A 26,386-nucleotide genomic window follows, 5' to 3' on the forward strand; every position below is an offset into this window, starting at 1 on the left:
ACTGTTAAATGTTATTGCTTTAAAGGATGGGAAGGGAGAGAAACTGGCTATTTCAACTTTATGCACTCTATATTATTGAAATTTTTTTTTTTTTTAGATGGAGTCTCGCTCTGTCACCCAGGTTGGAGTGCAGGGGCATGATCTCTGCCCACTGCAACCTCCGCCTCCTGGGTTCAAGCAATTCTTCTGCCTCAGCCTCCCGAGTAGCTGGGATTACAGGCGCCCGCCACCACACCCTGCTAATTTTTGTATTTTAAGTAGAGATGGGGTTTCATCATGTTGGCCAGGCTGGTTTAGAACTCCTGACCTCGGGTGATCCACCCACCTTGGTCTCCCAAAGTGCTGGGATTACAGGCATGAGCCACCACACCCGGCCTTTTTAAATTTTTATCATTAATTTAGTTACTTTCATAATGAAATAAATTATTTTAAGATTGTTTTTCTAATATTAAGAAAACTAGAGAAACAATATTTTAATCTAGATGATTAACTGCCCACTTGATGTCTACTGGATCTGCATGAGAATTTACTGGGGAAGAAAGCATATCTATGAAAGGGAACAGACATCAATAATATCTGAGATACAATTATACCTCAACATACTGCTTTTTCATAAAAATGAATAAAAATGGTATATATCTAATAGAAATAAAGCCAAAATGTTATAATATTGTACATTCAAATCTGCACATTATGTCTCTACTAGTAAATTCATCATTACTGTTTCTATACATATTGTACAATAGTATTAAAAGCAATAAAGAGGGCTGGCACAGACTTACAGCAGGAAATTTAATGATGACATTTTCTGAGTAAAGTGATTGGCATAATCACTAAGTAAAAAAGCAGATTACAATTCAGTAAGACATCTTTAAAAATGATGTTGTAAATTAGAAGACTAATTGTATTCCCTTTGCAACACAGAAATTAACGGGAGACACTGTCTATTTCAGCATGTTCATGCTGATTAATAATCCCATTGTTTTCTATTTAAAAAATTCTAGATAGTAACAACCATTGTTACTCTCAAAAATAATTACTTGGATTTAAGTTTTCAGAATAAGGACCTAGAATAAAGGCACTAGAATTACATAAAAATGGTGACAAAGGTAAGTCCAAGGATTACACAAGGAATACTTCAACAGCACTTGCAATATGCTGTCAAAAATTGGGTGATATATATATATATTGTGTAACTTTTAAACTCACATATATGTAACACATTATTGTTCTGAAAATATCAAATTTCATAGTAATGATACAACTTAATAAAGCTGAGTTAAATAAACATATTTGAGACATTTAGTGAGGTTATATAAAATGTAGTATTAATCCCTTTTCTGCAATTTCAGTTACCTGCAGTCAACCAGTCTGAAAATACTAAACAAAAGATTCCAGAAATTAACAATTCATAAGATTTAAATTGCAAGCCATTCTGAATAGCATGATAAAATCTTGCACTGTCCTGCTTCATGTCACCAGGGATGTGAATCATCCCTTTATCCAGTGTATCCATGCTGTACACGCTACATGCCAATTAGTCACTTAGTAGCCCTTTTATCAGATCAAAAAAAAAAAAAAAAAAACCCATGGTATGTATAGGGTACTATGTGAGGTTTCAGATGCCCACTGGGGGTCTTGGAATGTATTCCCTGAGGATAAGTGAAGGGTATTGCGTATCACTTTGAAATAGCAGTTTCCCAAGACAATATCAACCAAGGTAACAGAAAACTTTTCCCTTCTCTAAAAGAAGTAAAGCCACGTAACATTTGGTTGCTTTGCCTACTTCACCTCAAAACTGAAAAAAAAAAACCTTCTTGGGCTACTTGAATCAAATCAATTCTGCTGTAATCTTAACTGAGACAATCCCAATTTTAGGAAACTGGTTAATGGATAAGTTATCCTGTTATATTAAGATTATTTAATAAGTTTTTGCTTTGTTGGTTATATAACAGATCAATGCTTACTGAATCTCAAAACTTAATTTTTCTAGTATCTACTAATTTTATCCCTTATTATTCACCTTCCATGGAATAAGAGAAATGTAATATGAAGTAAAAATTTGTTGAATGAAGTAAGTAATTTTTATCATTTTTAGTTCAGCATTGGCGCATATGCCAATAATCTTGGCAACCCAGCTCTCTCTAAATTAAAAACACTTTTAATTTTTCAAGGCATTTTCATTGGAACTAATACCCAAAACCTCCCCCATGCCATAGATCTTATCACAATTTTGCGGAGAATCACAGGTTCACTGAGTTATATTTAGTTATGGCATGTATATTCTCCAAGTGCCTGCCAGTCACTGTTCTAGGGGCTGGGGATATAGCAGTGAACAAAACAAAAATCTCTACTTTCATGGAAATTGCATTCTACTAAGAAAGACATTAACAAAATCTTTAAGGTGTAAGGTGGTAGGAAATGTTTGGAGAAAAAGAGATTGTGAAAGGAGGATAAGGTATATTCATGCCACTGGCAAAAATCCAGTAAAAATCTAGGTAACAGTGAACTGGTGGAAGATGTCAGAACTCTGAAACATGATTCTTTCCAGTAGAATTATCAGCTTGTAAAGAAGATGTCATTAACTAAATATATTTCTATAATACTCCTCTTGTAAGCCACTCTCTAAAAAGTAACTTTTCTGTCTTTTTTTTTTTTTGAGATGGAGTCTCGCTCTGTCACCCAGGCTGAGTGCAGTGGCGTGATCTCGGCTCACTGCAAGCTCTGCCTCCCGGGTTCAAGCCATTCTCCTGCCTCAGCCTCCCGAATATCTGGGACTACAGGCACCCGCCACCATGCCCGGCTAATTTTTTGTATTTTTAGTAGAGACGGGGTTTCACCATGTTAGCCTGGATGGTCTCAATCTCCTCGCCCGCCTCGGCCTCCTAAAGTGCTGGGATTACAGGCGTGAGCCACCGCGCCCAGCCAAAAAATTACTTTTAAAGCTGGGCAGAGTGGCATGTGCCAGTAGGTCCAGCTACTTGGGAAGCTAAGGCAGGATGATCACTTGAGCCCAGGAGTTTAAGACCAGCCTGACTAACATAATGAGACTCCCATTTCTGGAAGAAAAAAAAAAAAGTAGCTTTCAAGAAAGAACTGTTAGCAGCATGTTATTTAAAAATCCTTCTTACCACTAAACCTCATTGTATAAACCAACCCACCAAGCAACAAAATTAAATAAACACAAAAAACTAGCAGAAATGTCTTGACTTTTCCTACTTACCATAAGCATTGGGGAAGTCCCCAGGTCCTGGTCCAGGATAAAAAGGACCTGGCCCCGGTGGTTGAACTGGATATTGTTGGGGGGGCCCAACATAAGGAGGGCCACTATGACGGTACTAGAAAAGAGAAAGTATGAATATTTATAAATAATATGGTATCTGGGGGCGAAAAACATAATAAAATAATAAGAAAGTAGCTTACTACAGAAAGTAAAGTTCTCTGTGTAAGAGAATCATTTAAATGAGGTAAAGCGATTGGGTCAAACACATTAAAAATGCTTGCTTGCCATCAAGATACAATGAGAATGAAGAGAAAGGTGCAGCTTAGTAAAGCCATACAACATATCAGTGCACAGGCAGACATCAGCTCACTGTAAAATAATCTCAGGCTAGTAGCTTTTCAATGACATTAAAGGATTTCAGGAACAGCATAATCACTGAGTCCATTTTAGAGCAGTTGGTTGTGGCAAAGGGATGGGAGAAAGCAAGTAGATAAAAACAATTTATCATTTTAAAAAATTTTAAGTAAACAGATGTAGAAATATCTTCACACAGCATAATGAAAAATCACAAAAGGGCTAGATTTGTAACCAACAAAACAGTTCACACGTCACCGAAAACTAATACCACAATTCATCCACCCAGCTCCCTCTGATGTGAATCCGGGTTAATTTCCACTCTATTGCTGGACCACCTAGGCCTCAAAGATACTTTACCTGTGGTATACAGTACTGAGGCCCCTGGGGCACTGGGTACGGCATGGGCAGATGGTTAACCATCATGATGTGCTGATTAGCCTGGTACACTGCAGTGGGTGTCTGTGCACCAGGACGAATGGAAGGACTGCTGTTCGGGATGGTAGCTCTAGGAGGCTGTATTTGAGGCCTCTGGAAAAACTGGGAAGGGGAGAAAAAAAAAATTTTTTTTTTTTTTTAACACAGGGGAATATATAAATTTTACTGTCTCCTTTTCTTCACTAATAAAAATCTGGTCAACTTGAATTACAAATACAATATGCATAAAAAGAATAAATTACCTATTGCTGGGTTCCCAAAAATATACCACACTAGGGCAAGCTCTTATCAGTATCATCACATATTTGAAAACAGTAGGGTGGTTTCGACCCGACTGTATATATACGTATGTATATATGCATACATACATGTATACGCACATACTGTATATATACATACATACATGTATACGCACATACTGTATGTATACATACATACATGTATACGCACATACTGTATGTATACATACATGTATACGCACATACTGTATGTATACATACATGTATACGCACATACTGTATGTATACATACATGTATACGCACATACTGTATGTATACATACATGTATACGCACATACTGTATGTATACATACATGTATACGCACATACTGTATATACACATACATATATGTATACACACATACTGTATATATACATACATATATGTATACACACATACTGTATATATACATACATATATGTATAATAAAGTATAACAAAAGGGGTAGCTAATATTGATATTTCTCTATTATATAAAAGAACTGACTCTGATAAAGAGTAAGTGGTTCATTATCAAATCATTAAAAATTAAAAGTAGCCTCCTAAAAGACTGCTGTTCAAGTAATTTATAAAATACTTAGAAGAACAAGGAATCTCTTTGATCATAAAATATTTACCCAGTCCATCAGGGTCAAGCTAAATTAAACCATCTGTAGGGTTGTCACATGCTGAACTAAGCAGTTTTTTTCCTCTCCAAAAGGTGGCACAATCCCATACTAAACTGAGCCTTCTAGAATAGTTTGCAATAAAAGTGGACAATCTAGACAGGCCTAAGAATGGTCTGGAATCAGCAGAGTTCAAATTTCTCAAAATGGCAACCAGTACCTGTAGTTATAATTTTCACTGCAAGATTAAAAGCCTTGAAACAATATACCAATAGTAAATTTCCAATGTGAATGTATCCATTCATTAGCAATCAATCTCAATGTAATAATAAGCAGACTGAGTTATAAAGAGGCCATGCAGAACCAGTAGTTTGTTACCTGGATAGGTCTGAATCCTCCCTTCAAATATGAAGCAAGAAAGCAGCAGGAAACAGAAAGAAAGCCAATGGAAAAGCTTACAGATCAGTTGGAAGGGACAGGAAATAGCATGCAGCTCAACAAAAATATCTTTCTATTTAGTAATAATAGGAGAAGAAAGAAGACTAGAAAATCAGAATGACAGTTCTTCACTTGAGAATTTAACCACACATAGAATCAAAGAATCAAGTTACATTTAACTGAAATCCAGTGGCAAAAATCCTCTATGATTATTAATAGCCACAAGTTATAGTAGTGTGCAAGGAAATGTCTGCTTGGTGGCACAAGTACAGTTGTGACTACTGGTTCTTACTCTTGGATCTCATGATCACCCATTTCATGATCTGGCATTGTCTAGCATCTCTGTGATCTACTTGCCATCTGTGTCATTTGTTATTTTTGTAAAAGTCCTAAGAAATAAACTTTTCAATATATATCAGACTCTTAATGACAGAGACTTGCTTGCTCTTTTTAACTAATCAGGTATATAAGAGGGCACTTATAGCTCTAAAATGGAGAACTATAATAACAATCTTAAAATGTGGTCTTGCACCAAAATAAATAAAGCAGCAAAATATTCGTTGCTATCAGTCCAAATAAAGCCAAGCTTCGACCTTTGGGCCCACTCTGGTCTTATTTTGTCCTACTCTTAGGCATCAAACCACCCACAGATGGTATAAGTAACTTGATCTTGTGCTCAAAAGGAAGAACTGGGATCTAGTGTCCAAGGCTCATCCCCATTCAGCCTTCCTACCCCATGGCAAAGATAGCCCTAAAGAAATTAAGTCACAGAAAAACAACAGCCAGAAAGGTATAGCAGGAGAACGGAATAAATGGGGGAAACCAAAGGGGCAGGCCACAGAGAGTAGGTGATGGAGATGAAAAGAAAGCACAGGAGGCAAAGTTGGTAACATAGGAACCTGGGATGCAATACAACTACAGGAACCATCTTCTAGTTATCTCCACTGACACAGTTTTGGTGACAACATTTTTTTGTTGGCTGCTAAAAGGAACAATAAAGCAGTAAACCTCCCATTACTGGACTGCATTTCTCGTAATTACAAAGCAAACAGAATCTATCATGCATCAATGCATGTGATCTGTAAACAACACTTCAGGAACAAACTTAAGTATTTTTATAATGTAGTTAATATCAGGAGCCACAAGAATGATACAAGCCTCAAGTAGAGAAGAGTCATTATCTGTTCAACTTACTGGGCATTGCTAAATAACACAGGCAGAGGATAAAAATCTTAATACTGAAAGATCCTTTGAAATCAACTGTAGAGGGCAGCCCAGCCAAGATAAAGGGCGTATCAAATGAACACAGGTGATCATCTATTATGGTAACACTATCATCAAATAATGTCAAAATACTCCTATGTTGCCTGAAGAAATAGGGTGTTACGGGGTGGTAAGGAGAGGAGAAAGAAAATGAATCCATTAACTTATGCAGAGTAAGAAAAATAGATACGGGCAATGTTTTCCAAAAATTTTAACAGTCTGTATGTGAAATATTTTCTTACCACTATTTTCCAGCTGTTCTGATAAAACTTTTAACCAGCCTGTCCAGAATAACTGAGGTTACATCTTATTCAATGAGGTTTCTGAACAGTATGAAACTAATTTCCTCAGTAACTTTGAAGTAAAAACAGTGTTTCTAATGATATTCCTAATATTAACATATAGCTGAACCAAAAAAAGCCACTAAATATGTAGTTATATTGATATACTAATTTTTTTTTCTTTTGTCGGGGGGAGATGGAGTCTTGCTCTGTCGCCCAGGCTGGAGTGCAGTGGCTGATCTTGGCTCACTGCAACCTCCACTTCCTGGGTTCAAGCGATTCTCCTGCCTCAGCCTCCTGACTAGCTGGGACTATGGGTGCCCACCACCACACCTGGATAATTTTTGTATTTTTAGTAGAGACGGGGTTTCACCATATTGGCCAGGCTGGTCTCGAATACCTGACCTTGGGATCCGCCCACCTTGGCCTCCCCCAAAGTGCTGGGATTACAAACATGAGCCACTGCGCTTGGCCAATATACTAATTTTTATACACTAAGAATTCAGCTTTGAAGCTAAAGAGAAATGTATTTGTAAAGCACCAACCTAAGCATTATATATATATATATACACACACACACACACACACACACATATATACACTTTTTTTTTTTTTTGAGACGGAGTCTTGCTCTGTCTCCCAGGCTGGAGTGCAGTGGCGTGATCTTGGCTCACTGCAACCTCCACCTCCCAGGTTCAAGTGATTCTCCTGCCTCAGCCTCCTGAGTAGCTGGGACTACAGCCACATGCCACCACGCCCAGCTAATTTTTGTATTTTTAGTACAGACAGGGTTTCACCGTGTTAGCCAAGATGGTCTCAATCTCCTGACCTCGTGATCCGCCCGCCTCGGCCTCCCAAAGTGCTGGGATTACAGGCGTGAGCCACCGTGCCCAGTCAACATATATGTTAACTCATGCTCATAAATGACCTTGAAGGCAAGTACTATTATTAACAGGTCATAAGATATATGTAAAAACTGAGGAACAGGGAGATTAAATAACTTGCTGGAAGCCTCCCCCATCTGTAACTAAAACACAGTCAGATTATAGGCATGTACTTTTAACTGTTACACATATTACCTCTCATGAAATGGAATACCCCCATATTTTCACATAAACCAGCAGAAATCTTTTCTTTACAAACACTGAAAGGATGTAGCAGGATCTTTATCCAACTATACTAACGGGTGGCATGTCCCTCAATCATGACTGATTCCTGGTAAGAAAAATTTTCCATCAAGTTACTTCACAAAACACATGCTTACTCACGAAAACAAATTTCTTCTACCTACACAACTCCAATTCTCTATCTCCCAAAAAGTGACTGAAACTTGTTCATATGCTAAAAGCGTATCCTTGGCATACCATTTTACAGACTTACTTTTGCTCAACTTCACTGCATTAATACTTTTTACAACAATAGTCTATCTGGAGCTTGTGTTTTCCACTTAAAAGTACAGGATCACTTACACACACACACGTGCACCAGAAGAGATTCTAGAAAAGCCGTAATGACTAGAAATGCAAAAAAAAAAAAAAATATATATCCTTTTTGTACTCCTTCCAAACCATTCAATTACAAATGCATAATTAGATTTAATAGTAATGCAAGAAATTCAGATTCTCAGTTGGGCAAGCATAGCAGTAATCCATAGGTTATTAAAAGGAATATATAAATGGGATTTCCCAAACTGCTTGCAATCCTTCAAATTTCTTTTCTTCTCAACTGAGTGATGAACAATCATTAAGAGTCAAACTCTCCTGAATGGAAGGAGCCATTTAGTCTCACCATCCACCTAAAGTCTGAATATCTTTTATAATATACCACTAGGGATAAGAAACTTCAGCAACTTAAGATACAAATTCTTTTCATAATTAAATGGAGTTCTAATACTGTAAAACTCTTCCTTCTACTGGCCCCCAATTTTTCTCCCTATATCACCTATCCACTTGTCTCGTGTCCATCCCTAAAACCACACAGATGTCAAATCCTTCTCCATCAGCAACAGACCACTAAGTTATGTGAACGCTGCCATTACTGCCAATTTTCACACCACTATTTTTTGTTTCAAGTCAATCATAACCCTCTCCCTAGCATCCTGTCCCTCCAACCAAGATTTTTAATTCCCAAATGAGCTTGATCTTTTCTTTCAATCTTGTTCCAACACAAAGGTATCGAGGTGGGGTCTGCCCAGAATGTACCTGGCACTCACTAAAAAAATATTTGTTGCTGAGTGAAAAGGCAATATACCTCTCTTATTCCTGCCAGCTCCAATTCCATTAATGAAACCAAGAATCACAGGAGCAGTTTTGATATTTTACTACTGATTGGTACTGACACTCATTTAAAGCATTTAAATCCTCTTTATACATAACCTGGCTAAATAAGCTGTGTTCTTCACTTCAGTGTGTACTCTTACAATTGTGTTTTGAAGCTCATATAGAGGATTTTGTAGTTTGTAACTATGAAAATTTATCTGGCTAAACAAGCCATCATTTCAGATTGTACCGACTGCATGACAGTGTCAAACTACAGGATCATTAGAAAACCTGACCCATCCTGGCTAACAAGGTGAAACCCCGTCTCCACTAAAAAAATACAAAAAAAATTAGCTGGGCGTGGTGGCATGCGCCTGTAGTCCCAGCTACTTGGGAGGCTGAAGCAGGAGAATGGCGTGAACCCGGGAGGCAGAGCTTGCAGTGAGCCAAGATCATGCCACTGCACTCCAGCCTGGGCGACAGAGCTCTGTCTCCAAAAAAAAAAAAAAAAAAAAAAAAAAAGAAAACTTGACATAAATGTCACTTATCCAAGTAACTGATAAAAATGCTGCAAAGAGCTAGGCACAGAAAAGAGAGCCATGTACAACATAAAATTCACCTCCTAAACTTCATTTCAATCTGTTTTACTTCTTTCATCTTTCAAGGATTTATTATTAATACACCAGAAGGATGGCAGAGGAAGGTGAAAACTCTCATTTGAGGCAGTATTTTGGGCAGATCCAACAAGATAGGATACTTTTAAAACAGAGGCTGAACTTAGCATACTTATAATTGCTTACTTTCCCAGAAACACTCTAGAAGCCAGAATAAAAAATGTTTCCTCTCGAAAAATCCTTCTAAAGATGCAATAATTCATATCATTACCCAAAGCTTCCTCATCAAAAACGTCTAACAAATGGTGTTTGAACGTGCTGGCAATTATGAAATATCGTTTTTCATGACTTTGCTCAGTAAAAGCATGAAAAGACAAAAACACCTCTAACAAATTATATAACAGAAATTCTCTGAAAAACATCTTTTCATTTTCAGCAACTAGAAAAATCCTATTTAATCACATTAGATATTCCCATGTGGGGAAAAGCTCTGAGTACAAGCATAGCTCATTTTATTCTGCTTTGCTTTATTGTGCATTATAGATATTGCATTCTTTACAAATTGAAAGTTTGTGAAATCCTTGTGTTGAGAAAGTCTATCAGCACCATTTTTCCAACAGCATGTGCTCATTTCGTGTTTGTCACATTTTGGTAATTCTCCCAATATTTCAATTTTTTCATTATTATTATATCTGTTATGGTGATGTGTGATCACTGACCTTTTATGTTATCATTGTAACTGGGAGCGCCATGAACTGCACCCATAGAAGACAGCAAACTTAAGAAAGTTGTGTGTTCTAACTGCTCCACCTACTGTCTGTTGTCCCCCCGCCTCTCCCATTTTTCTCCTCTCCTTAGACCTTCCTATTCAGCAGACACAATAATATTGAAGTTAGGCCATTATATGGAAATTAATAACTGAACAGTGGCCTCTATATGGTCTTGTGTCACATCTCTCACTTTAAATAAAAACTATAAATGACTAAACTTAGTGAGGAAGGCATGTTAAAAGCTGAGATAGGCTGAAAGCTACTTCAAAAGCCAAGTTGTAAATGCAAAGAATAAGTTCTTGGAGGAAATTTAAAGTGCTACTCCAGTGAACACACAAATGATAAAGCAAAACAGCCTTATTGCTGATATGGAGAAAGAGCAGTTTGGATAGAAGATCAAACCAGCCACAACATTCCCTTAAGCCAAAATGTAATCCAAAGCAAAGTCCTAACTCTCATTTCAATTCTGTGAAGGCTGAGAGGTAAGAAAGCTACAGAAGAAAAGTTGAAGCTAGCAAAGTTTAGCTCATGAGGTTTAGTGAAAGCAGCTGTCTCCATAACATGAAAGTGCAAGGTGAAGCAGCAAGTACTTATGGAGAAACTGCTTCAAGTTATCCAGAAGATCCAGCCAAGAAAACTGATAAAAGTGCCTACACTAAACACATGATTTTCAGTGTAGATGAAACAGCCATCTATTGAAACAAGATGTCATGCATTGACTTCTCTTTAGCTAGGACTTTCACAGCTAGTGAGAAGTCAATGCCTGGCATCAAAGCTTCAAAGCTTCAACAGGCTGACTCTACTGTTAGGGGCTAATGTAGCTGGTGACTTTAATTTGAAGCCAATACTTATTTACTATCTGGAAAATCCTAGGGCCCTTAAGAATTATGCTAAATCTACTCAGACTATGCCCTATAAATAAAATAACAAAGCCAGAATGATAGCACATCTGTTTGCAGCATGGTTTGCTGGCTATTTTAAGGCCATTGTAGAGAGCTTAGATTCCTTTCAAAATATTACTGCTTACTGGGAAAACACCTAGTCACCCAAGAGCTCTGAGGGAGATGTATACAGAGATTAATGTTGCTTTCATGCCTGCTAACACAACATCCACTCTGCAGCCTATGGATCAAGGAGTAGTTTTGATTTTCAAGCCTTATTATTTAAGAAGTATATTTTGTAAGGCTACAGCTGCCACACATACTGATTTCTCTGATGGTTCTGGGCAAACTACATAAAAAACTTCCTGGAAAGGATTCACCATTGCTGATGCCATTAAGAATATTCCTGGGTGCAGTGGTGTACGACTGGAGTCCCAGCTACTTAGGAGGCTGAGGTTGCAGAATTGTTCTAGCCCAGGAGTTTGAGGCTAGCCCAGGTAACATCGTGAGACCCTATTCCCCCAAAAAGAGAGGAGAGGAGAGGAGGGGAGGGGAGGGGAGGGGAGGGGAGAGGAGAGGAGAGGAGAGGAGAGATTTGTGATTCATGGGAGAAGGCCAAAATATCAACATTCACAAGCATTTGGAAGAAGCTGATTCCAATACTCATGGATTACTATGAGGGATTCAAGACTTCAATGGAAGGAGTAAGTGCTGATACGGTGGAAATGGCAAAAGAACTAGAATTAGAAGTAGTGCCTGGGCCGGGCACAGTGGCTCACGCTTGTAATCCCAACACTTCGGGAAGTGGAGGCGGGTGGATCACCTGAGGTCCCGAGTTCGAGACCAGCCTGCCCAACATGGTGAAACCCTATCTCTACTAAAAATACAAAAAATTAGCTGCGCATGGTGGGAGATGCCTGTAATCCCAGCTACTCGGGAGGGTGAGCCAGGAGAATCACTTGAACCTGGGAGGTGGAGGTTGCAGTGAGCCGAGATCATGCCACTGCACTGCAGCCTGGATAACAAGAGCAAAACTCCAACTCAAAAAAAAAAAAAAAAAAAAAAAAAAGTAGAGCCTGAAGATGTGACTGACTTTATCATGAGAATCTCATGATAAAACCTGAACAAATGAGGACTGGCTTCATATGGAGGAGCAAAAAAAAAGTGATTTCCTGAGATGGAATCTACTCCCGGTAAGGAGCTGTGAACATTGTTGAAAGGACAACAAAAGATTTAGAATATTACATAAACCTAGTTGATAAAGCAGCAGCAGAGTTTGAGATTGACTCCAATGATAAAAGAAAGTTCTACTTTGCGTAAAATGCTGTTAAACAGCATCACATGCTGCAGAGAAATCTTTCATGAAATAAAGAGTCCACTGGCCGGGTGCAGTAGCTCACGCCTGTAATCCCAGCACTTTGGGAGGCCGAAACGGGCGGATCACCTGAGGTCAGGAGTTTAAGACCACTCTGGCCAATATGGTGAAACCTCAGCTGTACTAAAAATACAAAAAATTAGCCAGATGTGGTGGCATGTGCCTAAAGTCCCCGCAACTCAGGAGGCTGATGCAGGAGAACTGAACCCAGGAGGTGGAGATTGCAGTGAGCAGAGATTATGCCACTCCACTCCAGCATGGGTGACAGAGCAAGACTCCATCTCAAAAACAAACAAATAAATTAAAAAAAAGAAGAGTCCATCAATGTGACAAACTTTGTCTTATTTCAAGAAATTGCCACAGCCATCTCAATCCTCAGCAACCACTACCCTGATCAGTCAGCACCCATCTACATTGAAGACACTTCACCAGCAAAAAGATTACAACTCACTGAAGACTGAGAAAATCATTAGCATTTTTTAGCCAGAAAGTATTTAATTACCAGCCGGGTGCGGTGGCACACACCTGTAATCCCAGCACTTTAGGAGGCTGAGGTGGGCGGATCACGAGGTCAGGAGTTCAAGACCAGCCTGGCCAACATGGTGAAACCCCGTCTCTACCAGAAATACAAAAATTAGCCAGTGTAGTGGCACATGCCTGTAATCTCAGCTACTCGGGAGGCTGAGGCAGAATTGCTTGAACCCGGGAGGCAGAGGCTGCGGTGAGCTGAGATCGCGCCACTGTACTCCAGCCTGGGCGACAGAGCAAGACTCCATCTCAAAAAAAAGAGAAAGTATTTAATTACTATATGTACATCATTTTCTTACACATAATTCTACTGTTCAGTTAGTAGACTACAGCACAGTGGAAACATAACATATATACACTGGGAAACCAAAAAATTCACGACTTGCTTTATTGCAGTTATTTGCTTGATTGTCGTGGTCTGAAACCAAGTCTGCAATATCTCCGAGGCATGCCTATATTTATTAACTTGCAAAGCAATACAAAATATGCTTCAGTATATAGGTCAGCCTACTAGAAGATGAAAAACTAACATCTGCAATTAGAAATTTCCTTGGTGAATATCTTTTAAAAGTCTGAAGTACTCTTGAAGAACAGTGCTATGATTTGCTGGCAAGTTAGAAAGGGACAAGCTTTAAAGAGTCCACATAATGGGACATCACTCAGGTGTCAATTTGATAATCTGTTAATCCATGGTAATTTATAATGGAGATTATTCCATTCTAAATTTTTTCTATATTTCCCGGCATGTGGTCAATATTATATAATTTAGGTTTCACTAAGAATCGGGATATGGAAGCCCTAGAGCTGAGTTGTTCAATACAGGAGCCACAAGCCATACTTAACTACTTGTACTAAAAATTCAGTTCCGGGTCAAGCACAGTGGCTCACGCCTTTAAACCCAGCACTTTGGGAGGCTAAGATGGGCGGATCGCTTAAGCTCAGGAGCTCAAGACTGGCCTGACCAACATGGCAAAATCCTGACTCTACAAAAAATACAAAAGTTAGTAGGGTGTGGTAGCTCACACCTGTAGTTCCAGCTACTCAGGAGGCGGAGGCACAAAAATCACTTGAACCTGGGAGGAGGAGGTTGCAGAGAGCTGAGATCGTGCCACTGCACTCCAGCCTAGGTGACAGAGTGAGACTCTGTCTCATAAAAAAAAAAAAAGAAAAAATTCAGTTCTTTAGCTGCATTAGCCACATTTAAAGTGCTCTATAGCCATGTATATAGCTAGTAGAGCTACAGCAGTGAAAAGCACAAGTACAGAACATTTTCATCATCACAGAAATTCTATTACACAGTGCTACCCTAGAGGTTTATGTCAGGAACAGGAGGTGTTCTGTCAGATCATAAGGGAGAGTCTTGGAAATGAGCATCCTTATAAAATACTTCACTCATGCTAAAAAATAGCTTGGGAAAAGGGGAAAGGCAGGTAGTCTCACTGCTAAAGGAAACTGACACCTACCAAGGACTTATTTCATTTCAGACACTGTGATAGGCAGGTACTTTATCCTCACCACACCCATAGGAAATATATGCAGTTATTAAAACATCTCAGTATTATATCATTTATTAGCATATTTTACCCATTTTGAAGATCAGAAACTTGAGGCCCAAAGATAATTTGTAGTGAAGCTGAAATTGAATCCCAGTTTTACTGACTCCCAACATATATTTTCTTCATTATTTATGCTGCTACTATACAACTCCTTGTGAATGAGATACCAGATAAAACCACCCATCACTCACTTGTACCAAGCTCCAAAAAACAAAAAGTTCATAAGATCATAATTTAAGATGTCATAAGGTCGTATAGATGCTTGAGATGGCTTGCTATTCATATCCATTTAACTCTGTTGTGCCAGGTCTGGCCCATTTATTTTACTTTCCAAATCTAATAAATTGCCTATAGTAACACAAATATATCTCAACTAGGAATATATAACATCACAAACTTTCAGTAAAGAAACCTTTAGGGATCATAATGAAAAAGAAATCTACATAAATCAGCAGTTCTTTTCAAAAGTTTCTTTTTCACAAAAAGAACCAAACCACAAGAGGAAAACATGCACAATTTCAACGCTTGCCACCAAGTAAGACATTTCTTTATGGCACATACTCCTCCTCCTCCTCCTCCTGCTGATAGTGTACGCTGGTTTTATGAAGCTCATTATTTGTTTACACTAAATCCCACTGCTTTGAATACAGCATATTTTTCAGCATTTGTGAAAAGTATGTGAACCAAAATCATATATCAAAAAACTGCACAGTGTTTTGTCCTATGAACACTTTAAAATACTATTTCCCTGGTCTTTCTCATAATGAAAAGACTACTTAGTCATAGTATATAACCAACACTTGATCTCTATTGTGAAACCCCAAAGTAAAATAAGGACAGGAACATAAGTAACTTTAAACCAGAACTACACAGATTTTAATGACCAAATACACAAAATAAACAACACAGGCCAGAATCCAAATTATACCAAGTGGCTTGCTATAATTCTGAGTGTACTTTCTGTTCTTTCAGTTTCTAATTACCTTGGGATTTTCAAGCATCAGTGCAAAAATAGTTGACATATTTCTAAAGCCAAGAGTGTTTTGCATATAAAATGACTTAGTATTTCTTGTTTTATCTTTGAAGAAAACTGTAATTCTAAAAGCTCTTCAGGTTATAAAATGCCAAAAGAATAGCACATCCTTATTAATCTGAAGAATCTCCACAAAAGACAAAAACTAATAGTAATATCAGGAAGAAGATGTGGCTGAAATAATCCTAACTGGAGCATGGCGCACTTGATTTGTGGGGACTCAAAAAGAGCTCTAGCCCTCCAAACAGAGTTAAAAGACCTTTTAAATAAAAGAAGTTCCAAGGAATACACTCAAAGCAGTTTCTTGATTCCATTAAGAACAAAGAAAATGTTTACCATTTAAAATCTTGTTATTTTTTGTTTACTTGAATTCAAGTAACTCCATCTTACACAGAAAAAATATTTAAGTTCTAAGATTACTAAACTGGATGATGTTTTCTTTTCACAAGCAATTAATTCCAAAAAGCCTACCTAAATAATTGTATTTTTTCTTTGCAACAGCTATAGAACATACTTTGCAATTTTTACTAAGCATCAACAAAAAGTTACTATATTTGCTATTGGACTTTAGAAACAACAATCATTAAAAACATCATCCAACAACAAATTCCTTCAAAAAATAAATTGAGATCAAAGCATGAAAGGACGTAAAGTGATCAGAAAGGCAGCCACTGATGAATAATGCAATAAAGGACAAAAAAGAAATCTATTCACTGGCCAAAGCAAACTACCACCGATGAAAAAACCATTTCTGCCTTCAATTCCACTTTAAGTCTTAAGTATGTAAAACCCAAAATATCCCAGGACATGAGTGTCTTCCCTTTAAAAGTATATTCTCTGTATACCACTCAATGTTTGTTTCCTCCAACAGCTTTCATTTCATTATGCAAGTCTCTATGTCTTGTTCTGTATTATGAGCAACTCCTCTGTAAATCTTTCAGGGTTTAGGTGCTACCTGACTTTAGATCTGAAGAGAAGATACTGTGAAATACAGATTCAGTAAGCGATTCTCAAATGGGAAATGCTGTCATTTCCATGGAGGGTATTTGGAAATGTACAGTGGTGGTTTTCTTTTGTTTTGCTTTGTTTTCTAATTGTCACTAGGGAAATTCTACTGGCATTTAAAGCCCAAACGATGCTAAATTAATTGTATTATATACGGCAGCTTTGATAACTGGTTATCCCACCCAAATGCCAATACCTATCCCATAGTGAAACAAACCAAATTGACCCCACATCTCCTGTGGATGCAAAATAGCAAACTCTTTCTAACAATTTATCCTATACCACACATAATGCCGGTTCAGTTAGCCCTGCTCAGCTATGCCACTCCAACCCCATGTCTTTCTTCTCCTCTATTCAAGGTAATTACTGTTGCTGCCTGAGGCAAGGGTACAGACATCCTTATTCAATTCTCTGTGATATGATGAAAAGAATTTAACTGGTGTTCAGGAAAAAAAGGATAACAAAGAAAAAAGTGCCAGCTACCTGAATTTTCTGAATTAAAAATCATTGCTCTGAATTTATACTGTATCTTAGGAACTTACCTCCAAGAACTATTGTTAGATGATAATTATGTTTCTTGGTAAGAAATAAATAATAAATATAATAAACATATATACTTTTTTTTTTTTTTTTTTGAGATAAAGTCTCACTCTTTCACCCAGGCTGAGTACAGTGGCACAATCACACCTCACTGCAACTTTGACCACCTGGGCTCAGGTGATTCTCCTACCTCAGCCTCCCAGAGTAGCTGGGACTACAGGCATGCACAACCACACCCAACTAATTTTTGTATTTTTATTTTTATTTTGCAGAGATGAGGTTTCGCCATGTTGCTCAGGCTGATCTCTAACTCTGGGGCTCAAGCGATCCACCTGCCTCAGCCTCCCAAATTGCTGGGATTGCAGGCATCAAACACCGCATCCAGCTTATACTTCTATTTTTAAAATAATCAAAACTAGCCATAAATTCATGAGCAGTATCATACAGTTAAACGACTAATCTGCTAACACTTTACTGAGTCCTACTGCACATGAAAATGTGGGCTGAAATCAACCTTTTCTCACAGAGATTTCTGAACATTTTCCCCGATTGTTGGAATTAAAGAAAGACAAAATGTACCACATAACTTTAAAGCTCATAAAAGTTTTCTTAGAGAACAGAATTTCCCAAAGCTCACTACAAATGCTTAAATACAATATCCTAATTTTAGAACCACTATTATCGAACCCAAGTAGCAGAAACATAACCTTAAAGTTTCTTCTATTTTCATTAAGAACTTAAATTTTTTGATCAACAGTCTTTAAAAGAGTTACTAGTCTTAATAAGAAAGGCCCAGGCTATTTAGTAACATGGTTCTTTTTGTTTGTTTTTGTGTTTTGAGATGGGAGTCTTGCTCTGTCGCCCAGGCTGGAGTGCAGTGGTGTGATCTTGGCTCACTGCAAACTCTGCCTCCAGGGTTCAAGTGATCGCTTGCCTCAGCCTCCCAAGTAACTGGGATTACAGGTGCCCACCACCACGCCCGGCTACTTTTTGCATTTTTAGTAGAGACGGAATTTCACCATGTTGGCCAGGCTGGTCTTGAACTCGTGACCTCAAGTGATCCACCCACCTCAGCCTCCCAAAGTGTTGGGATTACAGGTTTGAGCAACCGTACCTGGCCTATTCAGCAATACTGTTTTTGTTTCAAAATTCACTCATCATTCCATCAATCTACAGTGTATAAAATCCACCAAAATAATTGTGGTCAATGGTAACGTTAATTCCCTCTACTAACAGTTTACCTTAGGCTAGCTTATCTGAAATGACTTATGAAAATAAACCAAGGTTTGAAAAACACAAGCATGTGAACAAAGAAATTAACAGGTGCCTTACATAAAGGAGATCAGAAAACGTTTTTGCCCTAATTCCTTTGCAGTTATTTCTCAAATAAATAGTTTCTTTTCACTCTGCTTCTTGAGTAAAGATCCCCAACGTCTCTCTCTTTTAGGAGTATTTGCCTTGTCCCTGGATTAAAATTTAAGCCATGCTTCTATGGCACTGGACTAAATTTTCAATTATAAACACTCTTTTACATAAGAAACTAATATTTTTATTATTAGTAGTAGTAATACTAATTCTATGTCCTAGTTACTATGTGCCAAACACCCCGCTAATCATTTTATTTTCATTATCTAATTTACTTTTCATAATAGTTTCAACATGGTATTACTGTCTCCGTTTTACAGGTGAGAAAACTAAGGTGGAGAGCAGTAAATGATTTATCCAAGAACACTTGGTTAACATGGAAGAATCAAACCTAGATCTAGCTGATGGCGAAGTCCAAGCTCTTAAAGTATTAATACTTTACAATATTATCTCTGAATTAAAAAAAATACCCTGAGGTTTTATTTCACTATGAAACCCAAACAATAGCCATCCACCCCATATAGCCATCCTCCTGCAAAGTACCTTTAATAACTCAGATTTGCTTTGCCTTTACATCCTCCAGATTGGAAGGAATACATTTTGAAAAACAGAGTCAGGTATTAAATCACTGGAAGCCTTCAACTAAACAATATCCATTTACTCAGTAATAAGAATTGTAAATATGATAACACAGGCAAATACTGGTAACATTTACTTTATCCAACCAGACTTTGTTCCATAACAATCATATTAAAGACAGTTACCACTTACTGACTGCTTGTTTTGTGTCAGATGCTTACACTATTTCTAAGGCAGAGGTTATTTATCTCCATTTTACATATGAGGAAACAAAGATGCAGAAAAAGACTTGCCTAACCAGCTGGTTACATAGTAAAGCTTGTAATATGAACAGACTAAACCAAAGCTCTTTCAGCAGAAGAAAATGTTTCAGAATACCCCATAAAAAGCTACTGGGGGGTTGGAGGGAGAACCCTGCAAGTCCTTCTGTCTTGCCACCTCTAAATAGATTCCAATAGGATAGAAGTATGAAACCAATAGGATAGAATTAATATTATTTCATTTAAAAAATTAAAATTATTTCATTTAAAAAACCAATAGGATAAAGTTATTTAAATTAATTAAGATATCTATTTTCTATGTGTTCTAATAATAAAAATAATTCTATCCAGCAAATGGATGTACATGATTTTTAATCAATTTATTACTAGATCTAAGTTAGTAACTGAGTTTAAGTGGTTTTAGAAATACTAATGCTATTTTATACACATCAATACAGGTTATATCGGAATGTTAACAGAAAACCCATAGAATGCTGCCTGCTTCATTCAGTTAAATTTAACTTACTACAAATATCCACAAAATCTATAAACACTTAGTATCTAAATTTTTCAAAATTGTAAAATTTAAAAACAATGCTTGGCAAGAAAAAAAAAACTGTAGCATTTTTTAAATGTGCCATAAACAGAGGCAAATGGATTTGTTAATAACAAAATGCAGTGAGATTAATGAAGGACAAAGAAAGCTGAATTATATCAGATAAAAGCTACTCTTGAAATGAGTAATTTGAGTAGTTCTATGGGATGGCAGCATTCTAAGAGTCAGCAGCTACTAAAGCCCCCATCTATTAGTTAAGGGTGATAGTGAAGGGGCAAGGGTACAGTACCTGATGATGGGGAGGTCGAGGCCCCGCTGCAAACTGAGAAAAGGAGGGAAAACAAACACAAAAGGAAAGGCACAAAGAGTCAGAAACACCACAACAAAAACCAAAATTTCACACAATATGCCAAAAGAAAAAAAACCCACAGTGGGGAAATAAAAAACAACACACAAAACAGTCAAAGCTTTGCTGCAGGACAGTGACAGACAGGTACTAAGATTCAACAGGTTAACAGCACTATCAGAATAGTTTGTCATTTATCAACTGGGAGAGAAACAGGCTATGCTGTTAGGCATGTAAGGTACTCTCTGATAGGATTATTTAAAAAAAAAAAAAAACCCTAAAATAAGGCAAAAGCAAGTTTGAAAAATTAAGTGGTTATATTAAGACAAACATGAAAATCAAGTATGCTGTATGTAACTGATACAGCTGGAGGAAATGAGAAAGCTTTTACATTACAAGACCTAGCCAGGAGATAATTATAAAGTCCAGCAGGAAGTAAAAAACGTAACACAATTAACTGCAAATTTTCTTAAGTTAAATGGGATATCTTATCCATGAAATGGAAGTTTCAGTATCTTAATTTCTTGGAGTTAAAGAAAAATCTTTTATGACTTTACACACACACACACACACACACACACACACACACACAAGTTTAAGTTTAAATGCGGTTAACTAATATAATTTAATACAAGGCATGTCAAGGCAAACAGCTAGTAAAGAACATCAGTCTCTAACATGATTAATCCAAGTGGTATTCTTATAGGCTTGATAAGAAAAAAGAGTAAATAAGTCAAATCTCTTAATTACTATAGACAACAGCAAAGCACTGTGTATATGTACCTATTGTTACCTAAGAATAAAGCACAAAGAAATGTAATTCCTCAGCTAAATCATAGAGTACTTGAAAGTGGCTAATATATATTCCAACTCTTCTACTAACTCAGAAGAAAATAAAAAGTTTTTTCACCTATGCAAATTTTAACTGCTAAACCTCTAGGATCAAACAATTCACCAGGCCAAATTTGGGTTTGAATACATTTTAACTGAAAGGAACAGACAAAAATATTGGGGTATGTAGAGCCATATTCTGGATACTAATACATTAACTATTGTAATATTAACCGGGGTATGTAGAGCCATATTGTGGATACTAATACGTTAGCTATTGTAATGTTAACCACTCCCTTTAATAGTAAAAGAAAATATTTAGAAAGCAGTGTTTAATGTAAACCATATACAGGGTTTTTATCTAATATATTTAAGGAGCAAAAATATATGTCTTTGGCTCTCTTATTTCCTCTATAGAGACTTCCTTCTGTCAGCTTAACACTACAGATGAATTAGATTGAAGATTAAGAAACAATCTCTCATGCTCAGCATTTAAGTTATGTGCAATAGTGATTTGCAAAACATTTGGAATTACTTCCCCAACTACCATTAGTTCACATTTTAAAATTTCAACAAATTACAGTAGAACACATGGCCACAATGTAGGAGACAGCTGAAAACAGCTCTGTCAAGAATTCACCTCAGAAGCTAAAATGTCACCTTTTGTTCAAGTAATGAAAAGTGCATTAATGACCTACAAGCTTGGGTTATGTTAGGTCAGCCATCATACTTGGCTAATCAATATAATATAGTTTTTCAGAATGATGATAACTGGCAGTTACAGTTCTTGCAGAAAATTTTCTCTTCAAAGAAATTGAGGTCTTGTATTTTCAGTTTTCCAATTAGGAGAAGAAAACATCATACTTCTACTATGGACAAGAACAGGCAATACCACCCATGTGGTATGAAAGTAGGGAGTGGAGTGAAATGTTTCTTTATGACACTTTTGAAGAAAATGGAAGAGAGGGGCCATGTTACAAAATTAACCTGAGTATGGCAGTACCTGTCTTATCACTGTTCCACAGAAAATGTCCCATTTTCAAGGCTCTAAAATAAAAGCTAAAACTTTGTACATTTTGAATGTTCCAGTCAAAAGAGAATTTTCTATGAACAAGAAGAGTATCTTATAAAATTACATATATATAAAAACAAAAGCGAAAAAGAAAACCCCAACTTAAGTTAGTAGGAAAGTGCCCTAGGAAAGTACCCTAGTCTATTTTGCACTAGTCACCATTGGCTATTGAGTTTTTCATTTGAAATGACAATAGTCTTAATCCTATGGGTAGCTGTAAGCAACAGAACAAACTGTAGTCGCTGCTGGCTCATATTAAAACTAGAAATTTTTCTTTCTTTTTTCTTTTCTTTTTGTTAAAGAAGGGTCTTTAAGATGGTGAGGACTGTTGATATAAAGGAAAGCAGCCTTCTGTGAACTTGGATCCAGTGTTAATGCCACCCACCCACTTACTCACCCCTTCTGGGCACAGTTGGTAACTGAGCATGGCCAACATAACATTGATGTAATTTTGAAACTTAACACCACAAAATATAAAAATAATCAATGGTTACGTTACTACAAAAGCCAAACTGTCTCCCTCTCCAAATTAAGTATTTAATAGCTTCACTACTTTAGACAGGCTATTAAAAAAAAAAAACAACTACTGCTGTTTAAAAGTTCCAGTAAAACGAGAAAATGGAACAGATAGCTTATCAGTGTTGTTATTATTTTTAAAAAAGATTTTCTTTCCACAGTATGAATTTAACTAAGATTCTAAGCATCAAGTAGAAAGACAGGCACAAAGATAACCTGAAGGAAGGACAGAGGCCACTTGAAGCCAGTTGGATTGCAAAGGCAGCTGTCCAGGGAAGAACAGAAAAGCCTAAAACTGCGCAATTGCCAATGGCCTATTAATGCAGAAATAGAATGGAGTAAGCTTTAGCTGCTCTACAAAGCCACAGGAAGAGGCCCTGCCTCAATGTAACAGCTTACCTCTCCTCACCAGATGGGACAGCTGTGAGATGGATGAGACTAGACTATGACAACTTGGGACGTAAACAGAAAATGCAATCCTGCCAAATTTCAGACCCCAACTTCACCCTCCCAGCACAAAAAAAAAACAAAAAACAAAAACAAAAAAAAACCCCATAACAAAATAAAGAAAATCAAACCTAAAACAAGAAGCAAGAGTAGTCTGGGGTCTGCTAGTCTTGCACTTGTTTTAGGGTATGTAATGGAATGTTATGTGTGTGATTTTTAGTAATGGGGTGGGTAATGGTCACTAGCAGAGCAGATGGCAAAAATTGTATAGAGGATAGTATCTGAAGAGTTTATGACCACAGAAAAATGGCTGACAACTACAGACAATTTCCTCCTTAATATTCAATTATAAAATTGAAAGGGAGTAAAAAGAAGCCTCGAAATTTATCTTTTAAATTCAAATTTATCTGAAAGGGATATCTCACTTCAAGTTTAAAATAAAGAAAAATCTAAACCCCCAAATTCTTCCTGACTAATTCCCAATAGAGAACACCCACCCAATTTGTTATTCTTTTCCCCACTATGCCTGGCAGAAACTGCCATGCTAGGTTAGACTTTCAGAGAGGAAGCAATCAATGCATTTCTGTTCATCAGCCAATAAATGGATGTGGTCAAAAATACTAAGTGCCAGAGGCACCACTGCCTGCAAGAAGTACAGTTTGTTATATTGCTTACAATGCAGTATTTTATCCAGCCTCTTCCAGCCAAGGACCTGTAAACGGGAGTCTGTTCCAAAACCTTCCTCCTCTTCCAGTTGTCTGTGCAATGTATTGGCACTGTTCTGCTGGGCTGTCAAAAAAACTGGTTTAGAGATGCAGCTCTTCAGTCAGGTTCTGCGCCAGTTCTAACCATGTAAATTTAATTCATTTTCTTTTTTGATAATCAGAAATTAGGGTTGGGGGTATACAGAAAGAGGGCCAAAGAATTCTTTGCAATAGGAGCTTACCATAATGTTCCATGTTTAATTATTAGAACCAGGGCCTATCTAAATTGATCTGGTGAGATCTCAGGCCCAAGTAAGTCAAGTGTACACATCCCCAAACCACTCTCATAACAAAACTTGTATCAGACATCTTATTGACCATTTCAGCAAAAAAAGAGACAAGCAAACAGGCAACTAGGACCAAAGTCCCACCTCTTTAGAATGGTTCCTCCACCCACTGGGGAGAACCAGGATCTAAGAACAGGTATTGGAGAACAGGGCAACAGGGAAAAGGAAAATAGAAAAAGGATAAGAAAGAGATTACATTTTGGTGCAGTCTATGCTCTCCTAGTTCTTTAAGTAAGTCTTTGGTATATTTAAACAATTGTAAGTTCATGCATAAAATGAAATGAATAGGAGCTAATGCAATGAGGTATTCCTGCACTCCAGGCAAAAAGGCAGGGGCAGGGAACAAAAAGATATCCCTGAATTCTGAAGAATACACAGAGCTGAGGTACAAAGAGGGATGTGAGATACACAATGTGAGATGTTACAGAAGCACCTTCTAGCCAAAGCTAATCATGCAGGGCAGGAAACGATGTTCTAAGGAATGGAGAGCTGAAGCCACTGTATACTTTTGTGAAACAAAGGATGAACCTTGTGTAAATTCTCAGTCTTGGCAGTACTTATTGCAATTCATGTAAAGGATGAACAAAGAGGATGATAGCATTTACATTTGTATCACAATTTATTTCTCATTTGAATAAATGAATACACTCACTGGTATATGTCATGCATATACCCACACTGTTAAATGGTTAGAACAGATCTAATAACACTGATTCAAAAGTCCTGCTTCCCAAAACCACTGGAATTTGAGAATTTAATTAGTGAAATTCAATTTACTCCTAAAATCATTGTATTTTACTCTTACCTGAATTTTGAACAGTACAACTAACAAAAATTATAAGCTGAAATAAAGTAAACTTGAATGCAACCAGACTTAAAAATCATGCTATAGAAAAGTATTAAAAGGGAGTGGAGGGTTAAAAGCTCCACCTCTTCTTTTTCTCAATAAATTTAATTATTGCTATAGGTAAGGTCTGAAAATACAAAGCTAACAAATAATAGTAGGAGTCATAATAATAAATCATCTTTGGAACAAACTTCCAAAATCCAGTAAAAATATTTGCCAAAGAAACCCAAGCCACTACACACACAAACACAGGTAGAGAATGTAATTTGGTTCAAGCTTCTGCTTACTTACCGGAGAACGGGTTTGAGGTTGTGAATTCATTGTCTGAGGGGTTTGAGGGTATACCAGCGTGGTTGGACCTGCATTCTGTCCAGAGGGATAAGGGGTCTGTCAAAAAATGGCAAGAACAATATAATATTTTGAAAAAATATGGCATGGCAATTCTAGTTCAAGATGTTTTATAAAAGTTTACAGAAGTGGTTATTAATGTGGTTTATATTCTACTTTTTAAAAATTTAACTTTATTACAATATCCAGTAACTCAAAATCAGTACAGTTCCTTTTCTTTCTTTTTTTTTTTTTTTAAATTAATGAACTGGGGTCTTGCTCTGTCACCCGGGCTAGAGTGCAGTGGCACAATCACGGCTCACTGCAGCCTCAAACTCATGGTTTTAAGTGGATCCTCCCACCTCAGCCTCTGGAGTAGCTGGGACTACCGGCACGCAGCACTGTGCCGGACTAATTTTTTTCTTTTTTTTTTTTTTTTTTCAGAGACAGGGTCTCACTTTGTTGCCCAGGCTGGGCTCAAACTCCAGGCCTCAAGCAATACTCCTGCCTTGGCTTCCCAAAGCACCTGAACAACTTTTTAATTTTTTTTAAGAGACAGAGTCTTGATATTTGCCCAAGCTGGTCTCAAACTCCTGGGCTCAAAGAGATCCTCTCGCCTCATCCTCTTGAGTAGCTGGGACTACAGGCAAGAGCTTCTTTACCAGCTAATGCAACACTTTTTAAGTTACCATAAATCTCCTGATAAAAGGACATTAGCAATCCAAAATCTAGGTGTAACCATTTTTCC

General features: G+C 37.3%; 1 protein-coding gene and 1 non-coding gene across 65 annotated transcripts in view; both read right to left on the minus strand.

The window, feature by feature from the left end:
* The window catches only part of EIF4G3 (eukaryotic translation initiation factor 4 gamma 3), a 370,606-nt gene that overhangs the window by 170,819 nt on the left and 173,401 nt on the right, over positions 1-26,386 (minus strand). For 19 of the 64 annotated variants that reach the window (XM_047433321.1, XM_047433366.1, XM_047433324.1 and 16 more), the window contains 3 exons: positions 25,603-25,698; positions 3,938-4,117; positions 3,224-3,338 (listed from right to left, as the gene is read on the minus strand). In XM_047433321.1, the coding sequence (XP_047289277.1) occupies positions 3,224-3,338; positions 3,938-4,117; positions 25,603-25,632 (325 nt within the window). In that variant the 5' untranslated portion in view covers positions 25,633-25,698. Of the gene's footprint in view, positions 1-3,223; positions 3,339-3,937; positions 4,118-5,277; positions 5,299-20,490; positions 20,524-24,088; positions 24,215-25,602; positions 25,699-26,386 lie in introns of all 64 variants that reach the window. The other 45 variants (XM_011542370.3, XM_047433196.1, XM_047433354.1 and 42 more) reach the window with 10 other exon arrangements.
* Positions 11,204-11,322, minus strand: MIR1256 (microRNA 1256). Its single transcript, NR_031657.1, has one exon. It is a non-coding gene; the product is annotated as a microRNA 1256 (primary transcript).

This window comes from Homo sapiens, chromosome 1 (assembly GCF_000001405.40).
Source record: "Homo sapiens chromosome 1, GRCh38.p14 Primary Assembly".
Lineage (NCBI taxonomy): Eukaryota > Metazoa > Chordata > Mammalia > Primates > Hominidae > Homo > Homo sapiens.